Raw genomic sequence first — 24,885 nt, forward strand, 5'->3', positions numbered from 1 at the left:
TTGGCTGGCCCAGAGCACCTGCCTTTTCCTTTGGGGCACTCCTCAGAAGGAAATGACTGAGTCCCCAAATCCTCATAGAAACAAATGTGTGCATCCTTTATTTTCTCTGTTACATACCCAGAATGTGCAAACTAGTGAACTTGGGGAAGATGACACAAGAAGAGGGGGGATGTGTTCAGACAGGGGAAGTAATGTTCCTGAAGACAAACTCTGCCTACTTTGCAGCCTGACTGAGCAGAAATGTATCCAGCTCATAGCACAGATACCTCCACAACTGCTTCCCGAACAAATGGCAGCCTTTGTCAATCAACTATGGTGCTCTCTCACCAAACCCAGAACGGCCGCTTGGCCTTTCTAAACACATTACTTCAGGCAGCAGTGCTGGCCAACTGGGGTGGGCATGAGAGAGGAAAGTCTGCTATTTCTAGCCTAGGGCAGATGTGCTCCCTCAACTGCAGGGTACCTTGAAAAGAGAGTGTCTCGGAAGAGTCAAGAATGCCAGCAGGAAATGTTTGGCTTTGTGAGGACATGCAGCATCCTGAAGTCAGGCTGGCTCACGCTGAAAAGTGAATATGAGACAGCACACAGATAGGGAGGTATGAAGGTAGCCTTCATGAAGCGGTTAACAAATGCCAAACAGTTTGCATCTAATAAGCCCAGTGCATCTACATCCCAACGCTTAGAGATGGACAGTATCGGCTTCATTTTATAGATGAATGAACTGAAGCTCAGAAATTTTATGTCATTGCTCAAGGGGCATAGGGCTGAGGGGGATTTGAACCCAAGTTAGCTGGATTAGAAAACTCATGTACTTTCAATGATACTAAATAGCAGGCATCTAAAAGATAAATAGAGCATGATTGATGGGGCTCATGGATAGATCCATCTTACCCCAAATCACGTAATCTCTGAACAACTACACTGGGTCTAAGATAAGAGATCATTGTGTAGTTTGGCACTCAGAAGTGGGTTGCCTCATTCTGAGCAAAGAATCGAGTTTAATCCTTCAAATAGAAACTCTTATCTGGACTTGGTTAGATTGAGATTGTTACCAGCCACTTCAGTCTTGCCTTAATCACTGTGCAGCTCCTCTCCAGCTATTATCTATTAAGCCTCTCTCTTACTCACTGAATATTTCATACGTGAAGTAATGGAATGCTGAGCTGTGGGCTGTGTACTATCCTTTTGGTTTCCATTTAAATTTACAGCTTGCCAGTATGAAAAGAGTCCCGGGGCGCTAACTAAGGTGGTGATTATAGTGTCCATCAATTAGTTTGCGTTTCAGCACAATATTCACGGCCCCTTCCCACTCCCTCGTAACAAAGGGCTGTTTAACTCAACACATACACAAACACAAGCATTCTCCCAGGCATTTTTTACTGAGTTCCAGAATGCGTGTCTCCCAGATGTGCCTGCCACAATATGTTAGTTGTATTGGAAAAATGACCAGAAACATACTCTACGCTAATAAACTGCCAGAGTTTAGACCAGTCTTTCAATACAGGACTACTTTTTCACCACCCCACCTTAGAAATAATTATCTTGTTGCTATGTTGCATTCCACTTGACACTTAAAATTTGCAAGCTAGGGTATCTTTGATAGTTTTCCAAGTAATAACACTTTTACAGAATCCTCATTTCTAAATATAGAAACATTTTGTTTGCTTTGAAGATGATTATGCATGATAAGGAACAAGAAGCTGACAGTGGAGCCGACATAGGATTGCCTGGTACAATACAGGACAACCATTAAATTTGAATTTTAGATAAACAATGATTTATTCTGCGTGTATGTCCCATGTAATATTGGGACATACATTTAAAAATTATTCATTGTTCATCTGAAATTTGAATTTGCTGGATGTCTTGTATTTTTATTTTCTTTCTTTTCTTTCTTTTTTTTTTTTAGACAGAGTCTCACTCTGTCACCCAGGTTGGAATACAGTGGTGGGATCTTGGCTCACTGCAACCTCTGCGCCTCCTGGGTTCAACCTATTCTCCTGCCTCAGCCTCCCAAGTAGCTGGGACTACAGATGGGCACCTGCCACCACACATAACTAATTTTTGTATTTTTAGTAGAAACGGGGTTTCACCATGTTGGCTAGGCTGGTCTCGAAATCCTGACCTCAGGTGATCCACCTGCCTTGGCCTCCCCAAGTTCTGGGATTACAGGTGTGAGCCACCATGCCTGGCTGTATTTTTATTTTCTAAGTCTGGCAACTGCATGCAGACAGAGGAAAAGGAAGGGGGAATCTACAGGTTATAAATACTTGAAAGCTGATGTAATCATGCAGTCTATTAGAACAAATAAGCTCCCTACTCAGCAACTTCCATGGCCTTTAAAATATATTCATTCACTTCCTCCAAATATCTGTTCTTATTCTACTTGAAAATGATGACAATGCATAAACTAGTTGCTGAGTATCTTCTGGGAAGACTCTTTCATGAGATTCTAGGAATCCACAGTCTTACAGCCATCAGTCTGCCAGAAGACCTAACATAGAAATAAAACTCCTTGGTAATATAAAAGTTAAGGAAAATATTCTTCCAAATTGAAAATGAAGATTCATACTGCCTATGCAGCTCTAGCAAGTTTTCCAAGTTGATCTTCATTTTTTTCATAAAACCTGGTAGGAAACTATAAGTCCTAACTAATGTGTCCTCGTAACTTCTAAAGACAAGCAACTTATTTAAATAATAAACACGTTTATCAAAGGCTACCAAATATACAGTCTTGTGTTCAGAATTAAGGTAATAAGATGAAAAAAATAGTTTGGATGTAAAAACTTATGATAGAGAGATACAAAAATAGCTACTATAGAAAGCCCCAAATGCTTGCATTTTCTGAAAATCATGAATGAAGTACTAAGTGAGCTGCCAGCTAGAGGAAGGAATGAGCCAAACCTTTACCAGGTTCAAATCTGAGCCTAACCTTGAAGAGTATGATTTTAATATACAGGCAGCAAGCAGAGTTATGGACACAATATTTTAATTAATAATTAGATAACTGATATTAATGAATAATTTTGAGCTTATGAACAGTAGTGTGGTGACTGAAGCAGAAGGTACAAAGCACAGAGCTTGATAGCTGAGGAGGTTGGAAGAGTGGCTTACAGCCACATGATGGAGAGATTTTAATGCTAAGATTATGTACTGTGGCGATAAAAAACTATCAAAGATTTTCCAGGACAAGAATAGTCATGAGGTCTGTTGGTTTTTAGAAAGATAACCATAGAAAATAATGCAGAAGCTAGCCTACAGAGTTTAGAGGTCAGGACACTAGCTTAGGAGTATACTCATTGTTCAAGAGGCATGTTTATATCAAAGACAGAGCCACAGGAAAGACAGCCAGCAAAGAACACTGACAATGACTGGTCATGCAAAAACAGTAAGAAAAACCTGGAGGAACAGAAGGTGATGAAAGAGAAAATTCTACCAAGAAATTAGAGCTTTCAAGCAGGCAACTCTCAAGAAGAGGCGGTTGGATTTAGCAATAAAGCATCCCCCACAGAATGTTCAGAGAGCAATTTCAGACCAGCGATAAGGGCAAGGGCTTGGTTAACTTGGTTAAAGAGTGAATAGGAGCATTTCTGCTTCCAACATTATAACTGATAAAACACAACAAACATCCTTTTTAAATGCCTATCTCACTAGCAAAGAAGGGGAAAATCCTAGTAGCCAAAAGAGCCAAACAACAAAACAAACAAATTAATAAAGAAGCAGAAAACCAGGGAGGAAAGCAAATGCTGGGTCAGTAACTTCTAATGGAATTGTCCCATTCCAAGGGCCTAGAACCACTCTGGGAACAGGACACGAAGCCTCCACAAGGTGCAGAATGGAACTTAGATGCCCATAAAAACCCAAGGCCTTTGAAAGACTAGATGCTCCATGAAATAGTAGGTTAGAAAAAAAATTTCATCTGCAAAGGAAGACAGTATGAAAATTTACCTGTATCAGCTTCACCTCTGGTTAGGAAAACAAAGCTTCTCCATCCCCCAGCATGAATAGCCAGAGAAGATCCACAACAAATATTTTATGGGATTTTTAAAAATATTTAAAGTATACTTAATAAATATATTTAATACTTAAAGTATACTTAATAAATATATGTATACTTTTGTTGTTTATCTGAAAATCAAATTTAACTCTGTATTTTTATTTTCTAAATCTATCAAACCTACTTTCCCGCACTTCTCCTACCACCAATAATTTTAAAATACAGATCTATTCTATGTGAGTCTGGGGCTCACATTTACACAAACATTAGGGTTTGGAAAGCCAGAGCCAAAATACTAATTGTTGCCCTAATTTGGTAGCACCTCAGGGTGCATGGCAGGAGCAAATGCAAAGGAACAAACACCAACCAAACTCTCAGCAGTCAAATACACTTTCTCAACTTAAATTATGCCTAAGGAAACAGGCCACCAAGAAAAAGAGTTTGTAGAAATAAAAATCACAAGAGTAGACTCTCCAGAACTTCATATATTGGTATTTTCCAAAAAAAAAAAAAAAAAAAAAAAACCCAAGAAAATATAAAGAAGCAATCTTGAAAAAGAAACAAATTGGACTAATGGAAATTAAAATATAATCATTGAAATATAATGAAAATGGAGTTATCAAAGTTAAAAATTTAGTGGATGTTTTAAAAAGCAAATTGGACAGACTATGAAAGAGAGAATTAATAAACTGGAAGAAAACTTTTTAAAAGTTCATAAAATGTAGCAAATAGAACCAATGACATGAAAATATTGTTAAAAGTTTTAACAGAACAGGAAAATAAAAGAAAATTTAACATACATGCGATTAGAGTTCTAGAAGGCACAATATTTGAAAATATATTGACCAAAAAATGTCCTTGATGAAAACCATAAATTTTTAGATTCAGGAAATAGAAAAATGTCCCCTCTCTGAATTTTTCTCATCCTCACCTAAACATATCATAGCAACATTACAGGTCACCAAAGACAAATGTATAACCTTAAAATCAGCCAAAAGGAAAGCACCTTCAAAAATATATAGGTTAGAATGATACCTGCAAAGAAATTAAGATTCCGATGATAGCAGATCTCTCAAAAGCCATGAGAAAATAAACATAACTTACAATTTCATACCTAGCTGAATCCTCACTCAAGAATGAAGTCAAGGAGGTATATTTTCTGACAAAAATTTTAGAGTTTATTATGAATAGATTTTCACTGGAAGAATAACAATAGAAAGTCTGAAAAAATTGGTAAGCAAAGAAACTTTTAAATAGACAGGTAGATCTAATCAAGCATTTGCAGCACAAAGCAATATGACAGTGCTAAACTAGGGAAATACAAAAATGAGATAGAACTAAGATATTGTGCAACAATAAAGAGATTATAAGATATTTTTCACCAGGGAAGAGATAGTCATTAAATTAAGCACGCATATAAAAATGTAAAGGTAGTAAGATAATAGAGTCTTGTTTAAAAAAATAGGGGAAAGGGAATTAAAACAAAACACATAGTAATGAAGAATACATAAACTCTTAAAAACTAGGCTTAACACTTATAGATGGCACTACGTCCAAATGTTAAACTTCTCTCAATCAAAAGACTCCGAAAAAGTTTCCTTGGCTGGGGGCAGTGGCTCACGCCTATAATCCCAGCGCTTTAGGAGGCTGAGGTGGGCGGATCATGAGGTCAGGAGTTCGAGACCAGCTTGGCCAACATGGTGAGGCCCCATCTCTACTAAAAAATACAAAAATTAGCCAAGAGTGGTGGCAGGCACCTGTAACCCCAGCTACTCAGGAGGCTGAGGCAGGAGAATTGCTTGAACCCAGGGGCAGAAGTTGCACTGAGCTGAGATTTCACCACTGCGCTCCAGCCTGGGTGACAGAGTGAGACTCTATCTCAAAAAAAAAAAAAAAAGACTTATCTTTTAAAGTGTAACAAACAAGCACAGCAGTAACAATGTGGGAGAAGTACTTGCAATGTGTAATTGTTGCAAGAATGTAAGAGGTCTGCAAATTAGAATGAAAAAGATAATTAAACAGAAAAAATAAGATTAAAAGGAAGGAAAAAGCAATTCATAAAATAGGAAACATTAATGACCAACAGATATAAGACACAGCATGATCAATCTCAATCATAATGAAAACACTCTGTAAGGTACCATCTTATACCATCTACTAGGTTGGCAAAAATTAATAAATTCAGAGAATATCAATTGTTGGAAAGGATGTAGAGCAATGGGAAGTCCCACGTATTACTGGTGGGAGTATAAACTGATTCAGTAATTTGAGGAACAAATGGCAACCCCAATAAATTTGATAAGGCTTAATATCTACAATCCAGCAACTCTATTTCTAGGTATAGGCCCTTAAAAACTCTTGTTCACGTAGACAAGAAGACATGACGATAGCAACATTATCTGAAACAAGAAAAAAGTAGCTTATAATGATCATCAGTACGGATCTCTAAATTGCCTACTATGACACTATCTGGATTAGGGGTATTGTCCCAGCAGAAGAGGCTGCACTTTTCATAGTTTTCCAAACTTCCAGGTTTTAGGCAGCTTATGATTTTATTAACTGCAAACAGCTCACACTTTTACCTTCAGACTGTTTGATACCAAAGCAGTCTGACTGTCCCCAAATTCTACCAGGCTCTTCTGTTTGGTTCATAAAAGGAGAGAGAAACAGGAGGGGAACATCTTCCTGATGAAACCCTTTTGTAGGAGACCAGCCCATCAGTGCATCTCAAAGCCCTTGAGCTCAAATGTACCTCTGGAAAGGCTGTGCAGACCATCCAGGTATATACACTTTCCTAACAATGAGTCACTGCTTGCACCAAACTAATGCTAATATCTGCCCTGAACCCCTTGACAAGAAAGTTGTAAACAAACTAAATGACCATCAATAGGAGAGTGTAAAAATAAATGCGGAATGTCATAAGATATGACACAATTATCATGGACGAATCCCACCAACACAATTAGGAATGAAAATACTGAGATACCAAGTTACAGAAGAATACATACTATATAATATTGCTTGTATAAGGTTTAAAAATATAGAAAACAATGTGACATAATGATTAGCCATGCATATATATTTAGTCCCACTATAAATAATGTAAGGACATGATAATGATCAAATCCAAATTTAAGGTAGTGATTGTACCATTGGATATTTGAAGAAGTGAGATGTGACTGGGGATGGATACACAGGAACATCAATTTTACTAGTAATGTTTTATGTATTAAGCTAAATGGTGGTGCATGGGCCTTTACTATATTATTCTATACACTTTTTGTCCTAGTAAGTGTTTTAAATGAATGGATATGAAAAAGCAGAGTCAGCACAAGTCAATCTTGTTAAACAGGAAATTCACATGAGTAGGGAAGGTTTCTCTTAGGTTAGAGAGGTATAGGACCCTTTGAAGGTTACCCAAGTGGGATTCAAAAGAAGGGAGACAATCTCCACAGTGATCTGGAGTCATTCTAGAGGACTGAGATGCCTAAATAAAATGACATCTGGACTAGGGAGGTGAACTATAACAGTCTCCTTTTAAATAACGAAGCAAACTTCTGTACAACAAATAATGTATTCACTTTGCTCATTTTCTAATAAACTAAACAACCCCTATACACAGTATCACTTCACTTACAAATAAAACACTTTCTAGACTACCCAGGCAAAAACGTCAAAATGTAGGGTAAAGTCATATTGATATTCATTGTGTACACTTCTGGTTTCATTCATCAGATCTTTTGATAAATATTTGCCCTGTGAATGAATGAATAAATAGAATAAATGAAAATCTCTTAAAGAATTACTGTGCTTAAATGGCTCAAATTCACCTTTATTGAAACCAAAGCACAGCTTCCAACAAATATGAACAACTGCTGTAAGTCAAGCACTGTATTAGGCACTAGGGATGTGAAGACAGATTGTTTCCTAAGAATCCATGACATACTTTTATCATAACACTTTTTACCCCATATGCAAATAACTCTCCCCTTTTCCTGTGCCTTTTCAAAAACAAGAATTGTACTCAATTTCTCTCTTTATCCCCATTCAGCAAATATGCACAGCTATAGGTAGATAAAGTGACAATTAAACTGTAAAGTCAAATAGAAGCTCTTTGGAGGTTCTCTGGCATTCGGGAATCTTCCATAATTATGTGCATCTCTGTTCATATGGACGTCAGAAATTTGTTTTTAGCTGTAAGAGCAGCAAAGGTTAGCAATAAGACATTTCTCTGCTTTCTCATAGTAAAATGGTTCAGTTGTTTTCTTTACTTCCACTGTCTTATGGAAGTTCTCTATTCTTCCTTCAGGCAATAAGAAGATTCTTTATGAGAGAAAACAAACAGTTCCAATTTTATCTTAAGAGATATATTCCTTTTACCTTTCTCCACCATCTAATGGCTTCTTCCTCTGCAGCATCTGGTTCTGTATATTCTGGCCACCAAAAGCGAAGTTCCTAAATGTTGGACTGAAATCCTAGCTCACTGTAGGAAGCCAGCTAAGAGCTGAAAAGATTTTGGAAATAGGATTTCTGGAGCAGCCCAGAGTCAGGCACCAACTATCCTGTCCATAGTCATGTCCTGTTCCTGCCTGGCTGTGTCTGGCACCACAGAGTGGGAGCTGATGAAGGCAAGCACGTGGACACAGCTTCCTGCCAGGGCAGGAGCCACCCTCAGGCCATGGCCCAGAGAGATTGTTCTGGGAGGCTGTGGTTCATCCAGTTTAACCAGTTCAACTTAAGGGAACCCCTGTGCCTCAGCATGTAGGAACTAGAGGGAGTGGCAAGACTTCATGTCAGAGCTCTGCTTAGCAGAGCCACCTTGAGTTCAAACTCTTCCATGGCAGGCTCACAACTGGCTCTGTTGTGTAACTGGAACATCTATTATCCTATTATAGCAAAGTGCCTCTCTCCATTGAATGATCAATATATCTACCCTGGTGTCTTAGTTTATTTCATGTTCCTATAGAAGGATACCTTAGGCTGGGTAGTTTATTGAGAAAAGAGGTTTATTTGGCTCATGATTTTAGTGGCTGGATAGTACAAGATTGGGCAGCTGTGTCTAGTGAGGGCCTCTTGCTGCTTCAATTCATGGCAGAAAAGGGAAAGGAAATAGCTGTGTGCAAAGAGATCACGTGGCAAGAGAGGACGCAAGAGAGAGAAACTGAGAAAGCCAGATTCTTTTAAACAACTTTCTCTTGAGCGAATGAATCTATTCCCACAAGAGCTGAAACTCACCCCCTGCAGGATGGCATTAATCTACTCATACAGGATCACCTCCATGACACAAACACCCCCCAGTAGGCACCACCTCCCAATACTGCACACTGGAGATCAAATTTCAACCTGAGTTTTTGCAGAGACAAGTAACATCCAAACCATAGCACCTGGTTTAACCTTTATTAGTAGATCAGCCCAAGTCATATTTTTACCATTTTAGCCAGATGAACATATAGAAAGCCTTGTCTTCAGAATTTGGCAGTCTCTACCTGTTTTTCTGCTGTAACAATTCACAGAAGAGTATGAATCAGTCAGCCAGATGGGAGGGGAAGGAAAATGTGGTTGATACACCCTAAAAAACTGGGGCTAGGGAGTTGAAATATTTATAACTAAAGGATGGTCTTCATAGAGTGAGACGAACATGTTTTGCAAGCAGGCTGAACGGTAAACATTCAAAACCAACATGCTCATAGCATTTCACACTGTCCCCTTGTAATATTGACAGGAAACACTACCTTCAGTGCAACCTCTATAAAGTTGAGATAATGTAGTGAGAAATCCAACTGCAGATGAACTAGATTCCTGGCTTCCAATAGCAGTTGGTTCAATCATTTATAGCAGTAAATAAATGTTATGAAAGTTCATGTAAAAACCATTATCTAAAGAGCTAAATATGAAAGGCTTGCATTATGGCTAGGCATGCATTTCTGGCAGAGGAAATAGAAGTTTGCTCACAATATCTTTTTTTAGATTACTTTGAGGAAGAATGCCATCATTGCAATAGTGCAGACCATAGCAAGTTTCATCTTTCTTTTTTTTTTTCTTTATGGAATGAGAAATGACATCAGTTTACATGTCATCTGAGAAGAAAGGAATTTATTTTGTTGAAAGGCATCCAAATCACTCTGTCTTTGGAAGCCTTTGTTACTGAAACAAACTTTATCATTGTTAATTGTCTGGCCATTAATGGGCCAGTTTGTTCATCAACAAGTCTGCACATTTATACATATTTTATTGACCTAGTAATTTTACCAATGTTATACAGCCATGAAAATCTGAAAGAAATATCAACATGTAAGTCTTCCTTACTCTAAACTCAGTAGGAAAGTGCCATGAAGAAAGGGAAAACTTTTAAGCTACATTTATATTGAATATCTGAAATTATCACAGCCCACCCCACAACTCTTCTCTGACTAGCAAACTTTCTCTTCCTCCTGTTTCCTATTGTAATAAGCTAATTTCAGCCACTTCTCCAAGCCAGGATTCCAAGAATCATCTGTGATTTCCCTCCTTCTAGCCCCTTCATCTGTTTGACATCCAGGCTATATCTTCTAATGCCTTAATTGTTCTCAAATATACCCCCATTGCCAATGCCCAGGTTCAGCTCTTTGTCATATTTAATCTAAATTAGTCTGACCAATCTCCCTACCTCCAATCATCCTATCTACAATCCATTTTCCATTTAACTCCACTATCACATTCAAAATCATTTTCAAGTTCCCTCAGCAAAGTGCCTTCATGTGGTACCCAAAACCCTCCTGACCTGAACCAGTCTTTCTACCTCCATCCTTTTCACTCATTTCTCCTGCTCACATTCTATATGCCCACCACAGTGAGACAGGTGCAATTCTTGAAAGTGCCATGTACTCTCTCATCTCTAAGCATTTATACCTTTGGCTTCCTCTACCTAGAAAACACTTCTTCCCAATTCCCCCGCCCTGCCTGAAACCTTTACCTCTTCAACTCCAACTTGTCTCTTAGGACTCAACTCCGGCATTAGTTCCACATGAAAGCCTTTTCTGACATGCCCCTGTCACTACATTTTGGCTAAGTGCCCTCTGTATGCTCTGTGAGTACTGTGATGGTTAATTTTATATATCATGTTGACAGGGCCATGAGGCACCCAGATAGTTAGTTATGCATTATTCTGGGTATGTCTGTGAGGATGTTCCTGGAAGAGATTAACATTTGAATTGGCAGGTTAGGTAAAGCAGATTGCCCTCATTAACAAGTGTGCCTCATCCAATCTATTGGAGGTCTGAATAGAACAAAAAGTTACATTAGGAGAAAAGCCTGAGTGTCTCTCAGCTGGGACATCAGTCTTCCCCTGCCTTCAGGCTCAGAGTGGAACTATACCATCAGTTCTTCAAGTTCTCCAACTTACTGACTCAAGATCTTGGGACTTAGCTACCATAATCATTTCCAATTCCATGAAACCTCTGAAATGATTTCATGAAATCATTTGCCTGCCATCTCATCCACATGCCACACACATGCCCATCTCCAAACCTTTGTCCAGACAGTTCACCCACGTTGGAATGGGTTCCTTCTTCCTCTGTAAATACTTCAGAACATTTCAGCTCTAGACAATATTTCTGGCTTCTGAATTTATGGCACTTTTTGCATATATTTCTCATATTACATTTATTTATAAACAGTGCCAGGTAATATCCTTTATATTTTAATTTTTGGGTTATTTAAGTTTTTATGGATGCACATCTAGTCCCCTTGCCAATTACACTACAAGCTCCTTGAAAACACAGACAAGGTACTATTTACAATTTTTTTTCTCCTCCAAACTTGCATAGTTCAGCACAGTATACATAACAGATAATCAATACATGTTATATCGTTTAACATTTGTTATATGACTAGGACAAGACTAATAACTAAAGAACACTGCACAATGTAACAAATATGTTTCACTTTCAAAAGAATAAATTATTTCAAATGAGATCACAAAAAAAATGAGAAATCTATGACCATGAACATAATTTACTGTAGGCTAGCACATAAATATAAAAGCTTGAGGAGTGGCAGCTGCAAAGGGAACTCCAATTATCCTGCCAGCAGTATGAATGCACTCAGCTGTAGGACAAGGCAGATGTCAATCAAAAGTGGAATTAAAACAAGATGTACACTTTCCAAGCCAATTTGTATGTATATTTAATCAAAGAACTCACAGTTCATATGGTAACAGTAAAAGCAAAAGAAAATTAAAGGAAAGCTAAAAAGAATACAAAATGCTAAATGTCAGAAATAAATCAACATGTCATTAACAAAATAATTGTAAATAAGTTAAACTCCTCTGGCAACCATCTCACATTGGATTATAAACAAAATTCAATTATATGGCTTATAAAAGGGATATACATTTTTAAAAAGTGACTCCCAAAGACCTGTTCATTCCACAAACATTTTGTAGCATACCTACTATATACCAACACCATGCTAAGTGATACAAAATTTAAATATTAAAATATAGATGTACAGTTGTACAAGGCATATACAAACAAAAAGGATGCAAGAGTCACAATATCAATATTAATGAAGCAGTACTACAATCAAGAAGCATTATCTAAAACAAAAAATCATTTCATTTATTTGTGTTTTCTTAATGAAGTATGCAAGTCACCAGAATCCTCACTGAAAGTGATAAATACGCCTATCTTATAGAGTTGTTGTAAGTATTAAATAATAAAATTCATCAAAAATACCTACATGAAGACCTGACACGTGGCACCTGCTCAAAAACTGTTGGTTGCTTTTAATATTTGCATTAGTAGTAATAAGAGTTACAAGCTATAATAATCACGGATATTATGCTTTAGATAACATAGCATAAAAGTATATAAAATAAAATATTAGAAATGCAAGGATAAATTTACAGAATCATAATAAGAAAAGAATGAATACATTTTACCATATCTCTTTTGGTTCTTAAGGCATCAAATGGAAAAAAGGAAGAAAGAGAGAGAGAGGGAAGGAGGGAGGGAGGAAGGAAAGAAGGACAGAATGGATGTAGGGAGGGAAAAAGAAATTATATCTAAATAATAATGATTGATTATATATGTTGCTCTATGTGTGTCTATGTATGTGTGTGTGTCTATGTGTATGTGTATAGGTATATAGGCATCTATAAATAATATGTAAACAAATCTTTTTATTCAAAAAGATAGAAATACAAAGAAATAGAAAAGGTACAGACAGATTAATGGATTAAAGCACAAAGAAATAATTTTGAAAACAGATAATGTAAACAATTTAAAAATAAAACCACTATCTTATTCCCACAGACCAATAAAAATAAACCCATGATAAGATCAAATTGTCAAAAGTTAAAGACAGAATTTTGAAGGTAGCAAGAAAATAGTGACTTGTCACATACAAGGGAAACTTTTATGAGACTATCAGAAGATTTTTCTACAAAAACTTTGCAAGTAAGAAGGAAATGGGGTGGTATATTCAAAGTACTGAAAGAAAAAAAACACCAGCCAACCAATAATAATATATCCAGCAAAACTTTCCTTCAAAAATAAAGGAGAGATAAAGATTTTCCCCAATAAACAAAAGCTGAGGGAGTTTGTTTTCATTAGACCTGATTTACAAGAAATGCTAAAGCGAGCTTTTCAGGTTAAAACAAAAAAACCCTAAGCAGCAACATGATAGCATAAGAAAGTATGGAACTCATGAGTAAAGGTAAGTAAATAGGAAAGTACAGAAAATTATATTACTTTAATGGTGGTGGGTAAATCACTTTTAATTCTAGCATGAAAGGCAATAGCTAAAATAATGATAGCCAAAAATATGATAAAAGATACATAATTGGAATAGTTATACATTGTGACAACCATAATATAACGTATGTAGGGAGGGAGAAGTCAAAGTACAGACTTTTTGTATGCAATTAAACTTTGTTATTATCACCTTAAAGTAGGCTTTTATAACTATAATATATTTTATGTTAGTCCCAAGGTAACCGCAAAAAAATACCTATGGAAGTTATAAAAAGGGAAAAGATAAAGGAATCAAAATATATCAGTACAAAAAAAATTGTAACAAAACACAAAAGAAGATAGCAAGAGAAGAAAAAAACAGATAAAAGAACTACAAGACTAACAGAGGAGGCCAAGGCAAGAGGATTGCTAAGGCCAGAAGCTCATGACTAGCCTGTGCAACATAGCAAGACCCCTCTTCTACAAAAAGTTTTAAATTCAGCTGGGCATGGTTGTGCATATCTGCAGTCCCAGCTACTTAAGAGGCTGAGGTGGGAGGATTGCTTGAGCCCAGGAATTAGATGCTGCAATGAGCTTTGGTCATGCCACTGCACTCCAGCCTGAGCAACAGAGCAAGACCGAAAAAAGAAAGGAAAGAAAGGAAAGAAAGGAAGGAAGGAAGAAAGAAAGGAAGGAAGGAAGGAAGGAAGGAAGGAAGGAAGGAAGGAAGAGAAAGAAAGGAAGAAAGAAAGAAAGAAAGAACGAAAGAAAGAAAGGGCAAGGGAAGGAAAGGAAAGGAAAGGAAAGGAAAGGAAAGGAAAGGAAAGGAAAGGAAAGGAAAGGAAAGGAGGGAGGGAGGGAGGAAGGGAGGGAAGAAGGAAGAAAGGGAGACAGATATAGAGAGGGAGAGAGAGAGAGAGGAGAGACAGAAAGATAGAAGGAAGGAAGGAAGAAAGGGAGAGAGAGAGGGAGAGAGAGAGGAAAGAAAGGAAGGAAGGAAGGAAGAAAGAAGGAAAGAAAAAGAAAGGAAGGAAGGAAGGAAGGAAGGAAGGAAGGAAGGAAAGAAAAGAAAAGAAAAAAGAAAAGAAAAAAAAGAAAAGAAAAAAGGGAGAGAACGGGAGGAGACGGGAAGGGCAGGGCAGGGCAGGGCAGGGCTAACAGAAAACAACTTACAAATGGCAATAGCAAATTTTTCCCTAACGATGATTACGTTAAATGCAAATGGATTAGACACCCCAATCAAAAGATATATAGTGTATGAAAAGACTTCAAAATAAGATCCAACTAAATGCTGTCTATAAGAAATTGATTTAAATTTAAGGTCACACATAGGCTGAAAGTCAAATGATGGAAAAAGTTATTCCATGCAAATGGTAACCAAAAGACAACAAAGGTGACTATATTTATATAAGTCAAAATGGACTTTAACTCCAAAACTGTCATAAAAAGCAAGGACATTTCATAATAAAAGGGCTAATCCACCAGGAATAGATAACAATCATGTTATCTATTATTATGATTGTTATCTATTAGATTATCTCTCTATCTCACATCAGATTAGCTAGATATATTAAAAAAAAACTGGCAAAACTGAAGGGAGAAATAGCAACACAATAATAGTAAGAAACTTCGACACCGCATTTTCAATAATCAACAAAACTTCCATATAAAAGATCCGTAAGGAATCAGAGGACTTAAATAATGCTATAAATCAAATGTATCTAACAGACATATACCAAATATTCCAAACAAAAGCAAAATACACACTTTTCTCAAGTGCATATGGATATTTCTCCAATATAAATGACATGTTCCCTCATAAAGCATTTCTTCACTAATTTATATAGACTGAAGTCATACCAAATATCTTTTCTGACCAAAACTGAATAAAACTACAAATCAACAGAAGAAAAAATTAAAAATTCATAATATGTAGAAATTAAACAACACACTCTTTAACAACTATTCAAAAAGAAATTAAAACAAAAATTAGAAAATACCTCAAGACAAATGAAAACACACACACAACATGCCAAAACTTATGTTGTGCAGCAAAAGCAATACTAAAAGGGAAGCTAATAATGCAATAAACGTTTATAATGTATTTAAAAAGAAGAAAAATCTCAAATAATCATCTAACTTTTTAAACCTAAGGGAATTAAAAAAAAAAAAGTCCAACTTTAGCAGAAGGAAGGAAGTAACAAAGATGAGAGCAAAAATAAACAAATAAATAATAGAAAATCAGTAAAAAAATCAACAAAACTAACAGTTATGTTTTGAAAAGATCAACAAAATTGACAAACCCTTAGATACACTAAGAAAAAGAGAAAGACTCAAATACATAAAATCAAAAATGAAAGAAGAGACATTGCAACTGATGCCACAGAAATAAAAAGGCTCATAAAGACGACTATGAACAACTATATGCCAACAAACTGGATAACTTAGAAAACATTAATAAATTCCTAGAAACATATAACCTATCAAGACGAAATTATGAAGAAATAGAAAGTCTAAACAGACCTATATCTAGTATGGAGAGTGAATCAGTAATCACAATCTCCTAACAAAGAAAAGTTCAGGACCAGATGACTGAACTGATGAATACTACCAAACTTTAAAGTATTAATTCCAAACTTTCTCAAACTCTTTCAAAAAACTGAAGAGGAAAGAATACTTCCAAACTGATTTTTATGAGGCCAGCATTACCCTGATACCAAAGCCAGAGAAAGACAACACAAAAAAAGAAAATTGCAGGCCACTATCCTTAATAAATATAAATGCAAAAGTCCTGAACAAAATACCAGCAAACCAAATCCAACAGCACATTAAAAAGATCATAGGCCATAACCAAGCGGGATTTATTTCTGGGATAAAAGGATGGTTGGTTCCACATACGAAAATCAATTAATGTGCTACACCACATTAACAGAATAAAGGATTAAAATCATATAATTATTTCAATAGATATAGAAAAAGCATTTGGCAAAATTCAACACCTCTTAATGATAAAACCTCTCAATGACTGGAAATAGAGGGAAATCACCTCAACATAATAAAGAACATGTGTGAAAAGCCCATGACCAACATCATAGTCACTGGTAAGCAGGAGCAAGACAAAATTTCCCATTCTCACTGCTTCTATTTAACTTAGTACTAGCCAGAGTAATTAAGCAAGAAAAAGAAACAAAAGGCATCTAAATTAGAAAGGAAGAAGTAAAATGGTCTCTTTTTGCAGATGACATGATCTTATATATTGGAAAGCCTAAAGACTCCACCAAAAAAAATAAATAAATAAAACTGTTAAAACTAATAAATGAATTTAGTAAAGTTATAAGATATAAAATCGATGTAAAAATAAATTGTGTTTCAATACACTAACAGCAAACTGTGTGAAAAGGAAATTAGAAAAGCAATCTCATTTACAATAGCACCGAAAAGAATAAAATACCTAGGAATAGACCTAAGGAGGTGAAAGAATTTTGTACATAAAATTACAAAATATCAATGAAAGAAATTGAATAGGATACAAACAAATGAAAAGATATCCTATGTTTATGGATTGGAAGACTTAATATTGTTTAAATGTTTATGGTACTCAAAGTGATCTACAGATTCAATCTAATAACTAAAAAAAAGTCAAATGGTACTTTTTACAAAAATAGAAAATACAATCAAAATACTCATAGAGAATATCAAAAGACCATGAATAGCCAAGTCAATATTGAGAAAGAACTAAGCTATAAGTATTACACTTCCAGATTTTAAAATATATTACAAAGCTATGATAACCAAAACAACATGATGCTGACATAAAGACAAACATATAGATCAATAGAACAGAACAGCCAGAAATAAATCCACACATATGGGGTCAACTGTTGTTTAATAAAGGTTCCAGGAGGCTGAGTGTGGTGGCTCATGCCTGTAATCCCAACACTTTGGGAGGCCGAGGCAGGTGGATTGCCTAAGGTCAGGAGTTTGAGACGAGTCTGGCCAACATGGCAAAACCCCATCTCTGGAGCGAGAAAAAAAAAAGAAAAATAGCCACACGTGGTGGTGGGCGCCTGTAATCCCAGCTACTCAGGAGGCTGAGGCAGGAGAATCACTCGAACCCAGGAAATGGAGACTGCAGTGCGCTGAGATTGCACCACTGCACTCCAGCCTGGGTGAGAGAGCAAGACTCTGTCTTAAATAAACAAACAAACAAAAAAAAGGTACCAGGAATACACAATCTAGAAAGACCATCTCCTCAACAAAAGGTGTTGGGAAAACTGGATATTCACAGGCAAAAGAATGAAATTGAATCCTTATTTTACCCTACACACAAACATCAACTTAAAATGGATTGAAGACTGAAACGTAAGACCTGAAACTGTAAAACTCCTAGATGAAAACATAGAGGAAATATGGCATTGGTCCTGACAATGATTTCATATGATACCAAAAATACAGGCAACAATAATAAAAATAGACAAGTTGGACTTCTGCATAACAAAACAATCAACAGAGTGAAAGGTAACCTGTATAATGTAAGAAAATATTTGCAAATCACATATTGGAAAAGGGGTTAATCTCCAAGATATGTGAGGGACTCCTGCTATTCAAGAGTAAAACAAACTAAAACTAATAACCTGACTAAAATATGGGCTAAGGACTTGGATAGACATTTCTCCAAAGAAGACATACACATGGCCATGAGGTATATGAAAAAGTGTTCAACATCACTAATCATCAGAGGAATTCAAATCAAAACCACAATGAGATATCACCTCATACTTTTCAGGATGGCTATTATTTTAAAAAATCAGCAAAAAGAAATCAAAAAATGTTAGTGAGGCTGTGGAGAAATAGAACCTTTGCACACTGTTGGTGAAAATGTGACATAATAAAGCCAATATAGAAAACAGTATGGAAGTTCCTCAAAAATCAAAAAATAGAACTACCATATGACCCAGCAATCCCACTTTTCTGTATTTATCCAAAAGAAATCAGGATCTCAAAGAGATATTAGCAGTCTCATGTGTATTACAGTACTATTAGGCAAGATGTAGAAGCAACTTATATATCCAATGACAGATGTATGAATAAAGAAAACATGTATACGCATTCAATGGAATATCATTCAGCCTGAATAAAAGGGAATCCTGCAATATGTGACAACATAGATGAACCTTGAGGACATTATCCTTTCAATGGTTGGGGTTTCTGTGAATTTACATGCTCTTCAAAATAACTGTGCACCTCCCTCCCCGTCTTAGGAGTTCATGGCCCACAGGCAGGAGCAACTACTGGAGACATTTTCAGAAATCAGGAGAATGAGAAATCTGAGTGGGAGAGCATGGCCTGAAGGAAATAGTCTCTTGATCTGACAAGTCCACAAGACTACTCAGGAATGGCTTAGTGACTCACCTTTTCACAAAAGTTGTGGAAGGCACCTGATAAGTATACAAAGTTTGGTTCTTATAGTCACATACTAAAATACAAAGATGGAGATTCACTCATGTAATTCCTAATCAGGAAAGACAGAATCGGGAATATCAAGTTCTCAAAATTTAATAGGGAAAAAATATGTATTACTTATTAAATATAGCAAGTGATAGTCCCAAGGCAACGGAAGAGGGTGTAGTGTGTTGAGTTAGATAGTTATTAATTCCTTAAGAAAGAACACAGAGTTCTCATAAACAATTTCCCACTGCCTCCAAATGTAGTCACGTACATAAATGCAGGAAGACTTACAAATAAAACAGTGGACAATGACAATTAAATGGAAAGCAGCAACGTATTGACGGAGAATTCATCCATTAAAAGCTTTTCCACTCAAAATGGGTTTCAGCCAGAAATGGTTTCTTCATTCCTCCCTGTAGTATGCATTCTTGGTAGCTACTTTCAGAACACTGCCAACATCATTACACATTTGCTTTATATAGCTGTCAAGCTGTTCTGCAGTTTCTCTCTGGCCAAAGAACTTTACAAAAACTACTGGGGGAATAAGAAGCACAGACAGGTCGTCTCTCAGCCTTGGAATCCATTGCCTGTCTAAATCTCTGTTGCTTCCAGTACAGTTGGAATAGGTAGCAACCTCAGCCAATTATTATTTTATCACTGAGTTTAGTTGACTGCATGAAGATGAACTGATGATCTACACTCAATTCTCTCTGTGTCATTTGTCAGCACTCACACTGACTTTGTTCTATCCCGGTAGATCGATTGACAAGTCCACCTCAAATTTTACCTTACCTTTCTGAACCTCAGTCTCCTAATCAATAATAGGGAAATGATGCAGATGAACACGAAATTAATGAGTTTTAAAAGTACCACATTCACATCAGGCTTTTCCAGGAGAAATTTCCTCACTTCTCTCTTGCTCTTATGTACCCAATGTTCCCAGTTTTAGGGATTAGTCCATGACCTGTCCTGAGGATCTGCCTGCAACTTGTGCATCCAACTCTAGTTTGAAGGCTTTTAAGTAAATTTGAATATTAGGGGCTGCCTTAAGAAAGCATTTTATCAGCTTCTTCAACACTCAAAACTCCACTTAATCTTCTCTTCTCTATTCTCTCCTTTACTCTGCCAATAATTGGAGCATATGCCTTCAATTCAAAGCATATTAAACAACATATTGCCAAGTTGCTCTATAATTGTTCTCAGATGCATGCCTCATTTCAAATAAATGGGAAGGTTCTTCAAAAGAAAAAAGAATATGTCTACTCCTTTTCTTCCCTACAGAGAAGCCTAGTTTCCTTCTGTAAACTTAGTGGGCACTCAGTAGATACTTGTTAACCCATCACCCCTTTTATAAAAGAAACCAGAGTTTTCAAAAATAAACATGAGTCTATCTCATCTTACCAAATCCATTTTAAATGTCCTTTCAAGATGACCCTATTACAAATCACCTTTAATTCATCAGTAAATTCAGATGGTTAAATAGAGGGCAGAAATTTCTGCAAATAATCTTTTTCCTAAAGCTACAAAACATTTTAAAGACTTGATTCAAGTGAACTCAGCAACCTCTAGGACCAGATCCTAGAGTTCTGTAAGCTGCTGCCCAAATGTCCACGGGCAGCGCCTGTGTTTAATTCAGCAAATAAAATGCTTCTGTGGAAATTAGCCTTTCTGTTGTTTTTGTCTACGGAGAAAAACAGAAATCAAAAGATCATAGACTTGAGAGATGACAGAAAATTCAGAAGATCAGGTAGTCTAGCCATCCACCTTCAGGGAAGTACAGTATTGTTATTATTACAATTTTACTAATCAAACTATTAAGACCCAGAATTATTTTTGAGAATTTGTTGAAGGTGAAATATTGGTGGGGTAAGGTATTTTAGGGGGAGTGACTAGACCCAAAGTTCTCTGGTTTTGGCATCCGACATCATTTTTACTACATCATATGCAAGTTCAATAAATTCCTCAGCTGGGCGCGCTGGCTCACATCTGTAATCTCAGCACTTTGGGAGGCCGAGGCAGGTGGATCACAAGGTCAGGAGTTCGAGACCAGCCTGGCCAATATGGTGAAACCCCATCTCTACTAAAAATATAAAATTATCTGGGTGTGATGGGCACCTATAATCCCAGCTACTTGGGAGGCTGAGGCAGGAGAATCACTTGAACCCAGGAGGCTGAGATTGCAGTGAGCCAAGATCGCACCACTGCACTCCAGCCTGGTTGACAAAGCGAGACTCTATCTCAAATAAATAAATAAATAAATAAATAAATAAATAAATCCCTCAAATCTGTAGACTAAGGATTATCAAGATGACATAAATAGAAGTTCCTATTCCCAACCTCTTCCCATTTCTGGATCAGGGGTAACGAGTTTCTGCTTTGCACCAAAGGCTCCACATCCATCCTTTGGCTCTCTCTGAAAAGGAAACTTTCTGTAGATTCTAGGCTATGTGGCTCGTGTCTTATCTTTTCCTAATGGTCCACTGGATTGTAAGTTTTTGGGGAAAATGACTATCGCATATTTGCAAAGCCATTCTAGCACCTCGCACAATACCAGCCACGTGGTTGGTACTTAATAGTTTTTGAATGAGTGACTGAGTGCTCCTATGATGGGTAATAGACATGAGGGATAGTTTGACAAGTGTAATTGGTGAAGGAACCACCTGCCATATTTCCCATCTTCTTTACATCGAAGAGCTTCCTAACTCGGCTGTTTTTGGATACTCTTGGAGATGCCATAACCTTTAACTGGGGTCTTGGGGAAAACTCATGACTGATAGCAGAAGCTGGAGGCTTGGCAATTCAACTGAGTTAACCACTCTAATTCAATCAAAGCTGCTGTTGGCTGAGAGCTTCAATTATAGGCAAACATTGACCATCATTCAATCATTTGGTTCTTTCCTTGGGTTCAACTCCTACATTGTGAAAGAGGAAATTAAAGGAAATTATTTACTTCCATAGCTAGTGACATCATGGCAATTTTATGAAGAAATAGTCTCCCAAATGCAGCAACTTCCTCAATATTTTGAGTGATTGCACTCTGCTGTGAAATTATTCACTTCTCCTAGTCTGCTCACTCTCCACACAAACACTACACACATGCTGATGTAGTCAACCAAGTAAGGCCAGGGTAGACATTTTTCCTAGAGATGAAATTATATTAAATCAATATAAGCCTTAAGGCCCATATTGAGAATTTGTTTCTGGTTTAGTTTCTCTTTTTTGATGTGGTTTCAAGTTAGAATGAAACACTAGACTAGGACCAAGGAGTGATATAGGATGTCAAGAGAGAACAGAGCCTCGTACATACTTAGGAGAGACTGAACTTTCCACCCTATGACTGAACACTCTCCATCAGCTTTACCTTAGACACCCACTGAGATCCAGTACAGGTCTGCGATAGATTCAGGAGCTGGCTTTAATGGGGCATCCCATCAATCAGGTTTTTAGGTCATGGAACCCTACCTTGCCCTTCCTTCTGATACCAGGGAGAAATCTGACCTCAAAGGGTACTAGGAGGGACCTTAAGTGTCTTATTTTAGATAATAGGCAATGCAACCAGTGGTTCTAACAGGGAGAATTGCACCACCAAAATTAAAAGCAGCTGCTGAAACTTAGTAGCAATAGATGTTGGCAGCAGAATTTCAAAGATTTCATTTATGAGGCACATATTATAGTTCTAATGGGCAGCTGAGCAGATGGAGGTCTGAAGGTACACGAGCCAAAAGAGCTTGTAGAGGCTCTGCCTGTGCACTCAAGGCCAGAGGGATGGTACCATAGCAGACAGAGTTCAGCAGCCAAAAGTAATAATCTAGGCTCTGAGATTATGTCATTCCCAGGGGATCCTTCAATTGCTAGCTTTCCTCCACTCTGTCAGATTTGCTGTTAGACATTTCTTCTTACGGATTTTCAAATGTTTTAATGTTATCTCCCTCTCCCTGTTCAAACACACAACATACACCTTAAAAGAAGAAAAAGAGAGCACATTAAAAGTTAATGGATGAAATGCTGCTATAGATTCTATAGTTAAACAGACCTGAGTTCAGCTCCTGACTCTACCACCAAGCTATTTGACCTTGGGCAAGTTATTCAACCTCTCAGAGCCTAAAATGCCTCGTGGAAAAACAAACAAACAAACAAAAAAAAAAAAAAACCATCTTTTGAGGAGAAAATTAGGCAAAAAACACAACATGGTAATGGTAAACACTAACACAGTAGCTATTATTATGATTTGCTGTTACAACAATGCCTGACACTCGCTAAGTGCTCCGTAAGTATTAACGGAATCCTGTTATAACAACTCATGTACCAGATCTGAATAATGGGACAGGAGACACTTTCCTAGTTCATGGGGGCTGGAGAGTGACTTCTAAGTGAGAAGAAAGAAGCCTAAAGTGGTCATGGGGGAAGAATAAAGATAAATTCCTAACCCCTCTCCTCCTGTCCCCACACACCACTTCCCTGCTTCAGAGCTTCCTCTCTTTCCAGACAGAGATGGCATTTGTAAGGCTCTTGTCTTGATGGAGTAAAGGATTATTATCAGCCAACAATCTAATTTCAAACTAAAATAAATGCACCAAGTGTGGGATTCTCTCCATTAGTTGGGATTCTATAAACAGAGAGGATTTTATTTCATTATTATTATTTTTTACTTTTCCGTAAGTTATTGAGGTACAGGTGGTATTTGATTACATAAGCTCTTTAGTGGTGATTTGTGAGATTTTGGGGCACATATCACCCAAGCAGTATACATTGCACCATATTTGTAGTCTTTTAATCCCCGTCCCCCTCCCACCCTTTCCCCTGAGTACCCAAAGTCCATTGTATCATTCTTATGTGTTTGCATCCTCATAGCTTAGCTCCCACATATCAATGAGAACATGCGATGTTTGGTTTTCCATTCCTGAGTGACTTCACTTAGAATACTAGTCTCCAAACTTCTCAACTGGAGATGTCTTTTATTTCTTAGATTCAAATTCTAACAAAGAAGGGATGTTTTGCCCACCCAATTCTCCCAATGCCACCACCACCATCACACAACAATTTTGTTTCCTTGGACATCAACACGAAACACCTCATTGTGTGCCCCAGTTCTCTTCCCCTCACCCATCTTGCCCATGCCCCTCTGTAACTAGGATCAAGGCTGGCAGCACAGCTGCTGGTCAAGGCTTCCACATGTGTGTTGGAGAGGAAGGGGAGGTGTTCAAACCATTGAAACTCGTTTAACATATTTTTTCACTAAATCAGAGGTAACAGTTACTGTCCAAGATGAAAGTACCCTTTTAGCATGCAACCTTTGCGAATATTTCACTAAATAAAAACTGTGCTTAATATCTTCCCTGACCATGGCCTTCTCTCCTCCTGTTCCTTAGGAAAACTGCCTGTAATTTCCAATGACTAATGGTGGACATCTACTTTCTCGGAAAAGTCAAAGAGACATTACAGCCAACAGTTTGAAGAACAAAAAAGCTTAGCAGGCCAAGACACAACAACAAATTAATGCTTTTCATGATGACTAGCAACCTTCACCTTGAATATATGTGATTAAAATAAGAACCTGAAGTTACTGTGCAATGCAGCCTCAGATTCTTTTATTGTGAGGGAATCACACGACCTGCGGGCGTCACGAACTGTGGGAAATGGTGGAGCGGGCTAGGAAAGGCTGAGGGAGAAGGTTCTCAAAAGCTCTGAGTCAGAGCTCAGCTATTTGGGGGATTTCATTCATCCCCC

General features: G+C 37.2%; 1 protein-coding gene across 7 annotated transcripts in view, besides 1 other annotated feature; it reads right to left on the minus strand.

Annotated features, from left to right (window-relative positions):
- NCKAP5 (NCK associated protein 5) overlaps positions 1–24,885 on the minus strand; it is a 1,003,049-nt gene that overhangs the window by 961,192 nt on the left and 16,972 nt on the right. For 5 of the 7 annotated variants that reach the window (XM_047444134.1, XM_005263660.5, XM_047444129.1 and 2 more), the window contains exon 1: positions 8,378–8,598. The exons of the other annotated variants lie outside the window; for them this stretch is intronic. The gene's annotated coding sequence lies outside the window, so the exon portion shown is untranslated. Of the gene's footprint in view, positions 1–8,377; positions 8,599–24,885 lie in introns of those variants that run through there. 7 annotated transcript variants of the gene reach the window in all.
- Positions 10,951–11,458: an enhancer, noted in NCBI's record as "NANOG hESC enhancer chr2:134401501-134402008 (GRCh37/hg19 assembly coordinates)". NCBI's record gives its function as "activates a minimal SCP1, AML or CMV promoter by ChIP-STARR-seq in primed H9 embryonic stem cells {active_cell/tissue: H9 hESC(primed)}" and the evidence as "EXISTENCE:reporter gene assay evidence [ECO:0000049][PMID:30033119]".

Source organism: Homo sapiens, chromosome 2 (genome assembly GCF_000001405.40).
Source record: "Homo sapiens chromosome 2, GRCh38.p14 Primary Assembly".
Classification (NCBI taxonomy): Eukaryota; Metazoa; Chordata; class Mammalia; order Primates; family Hominidae; genus Homo; species Homo sapiens.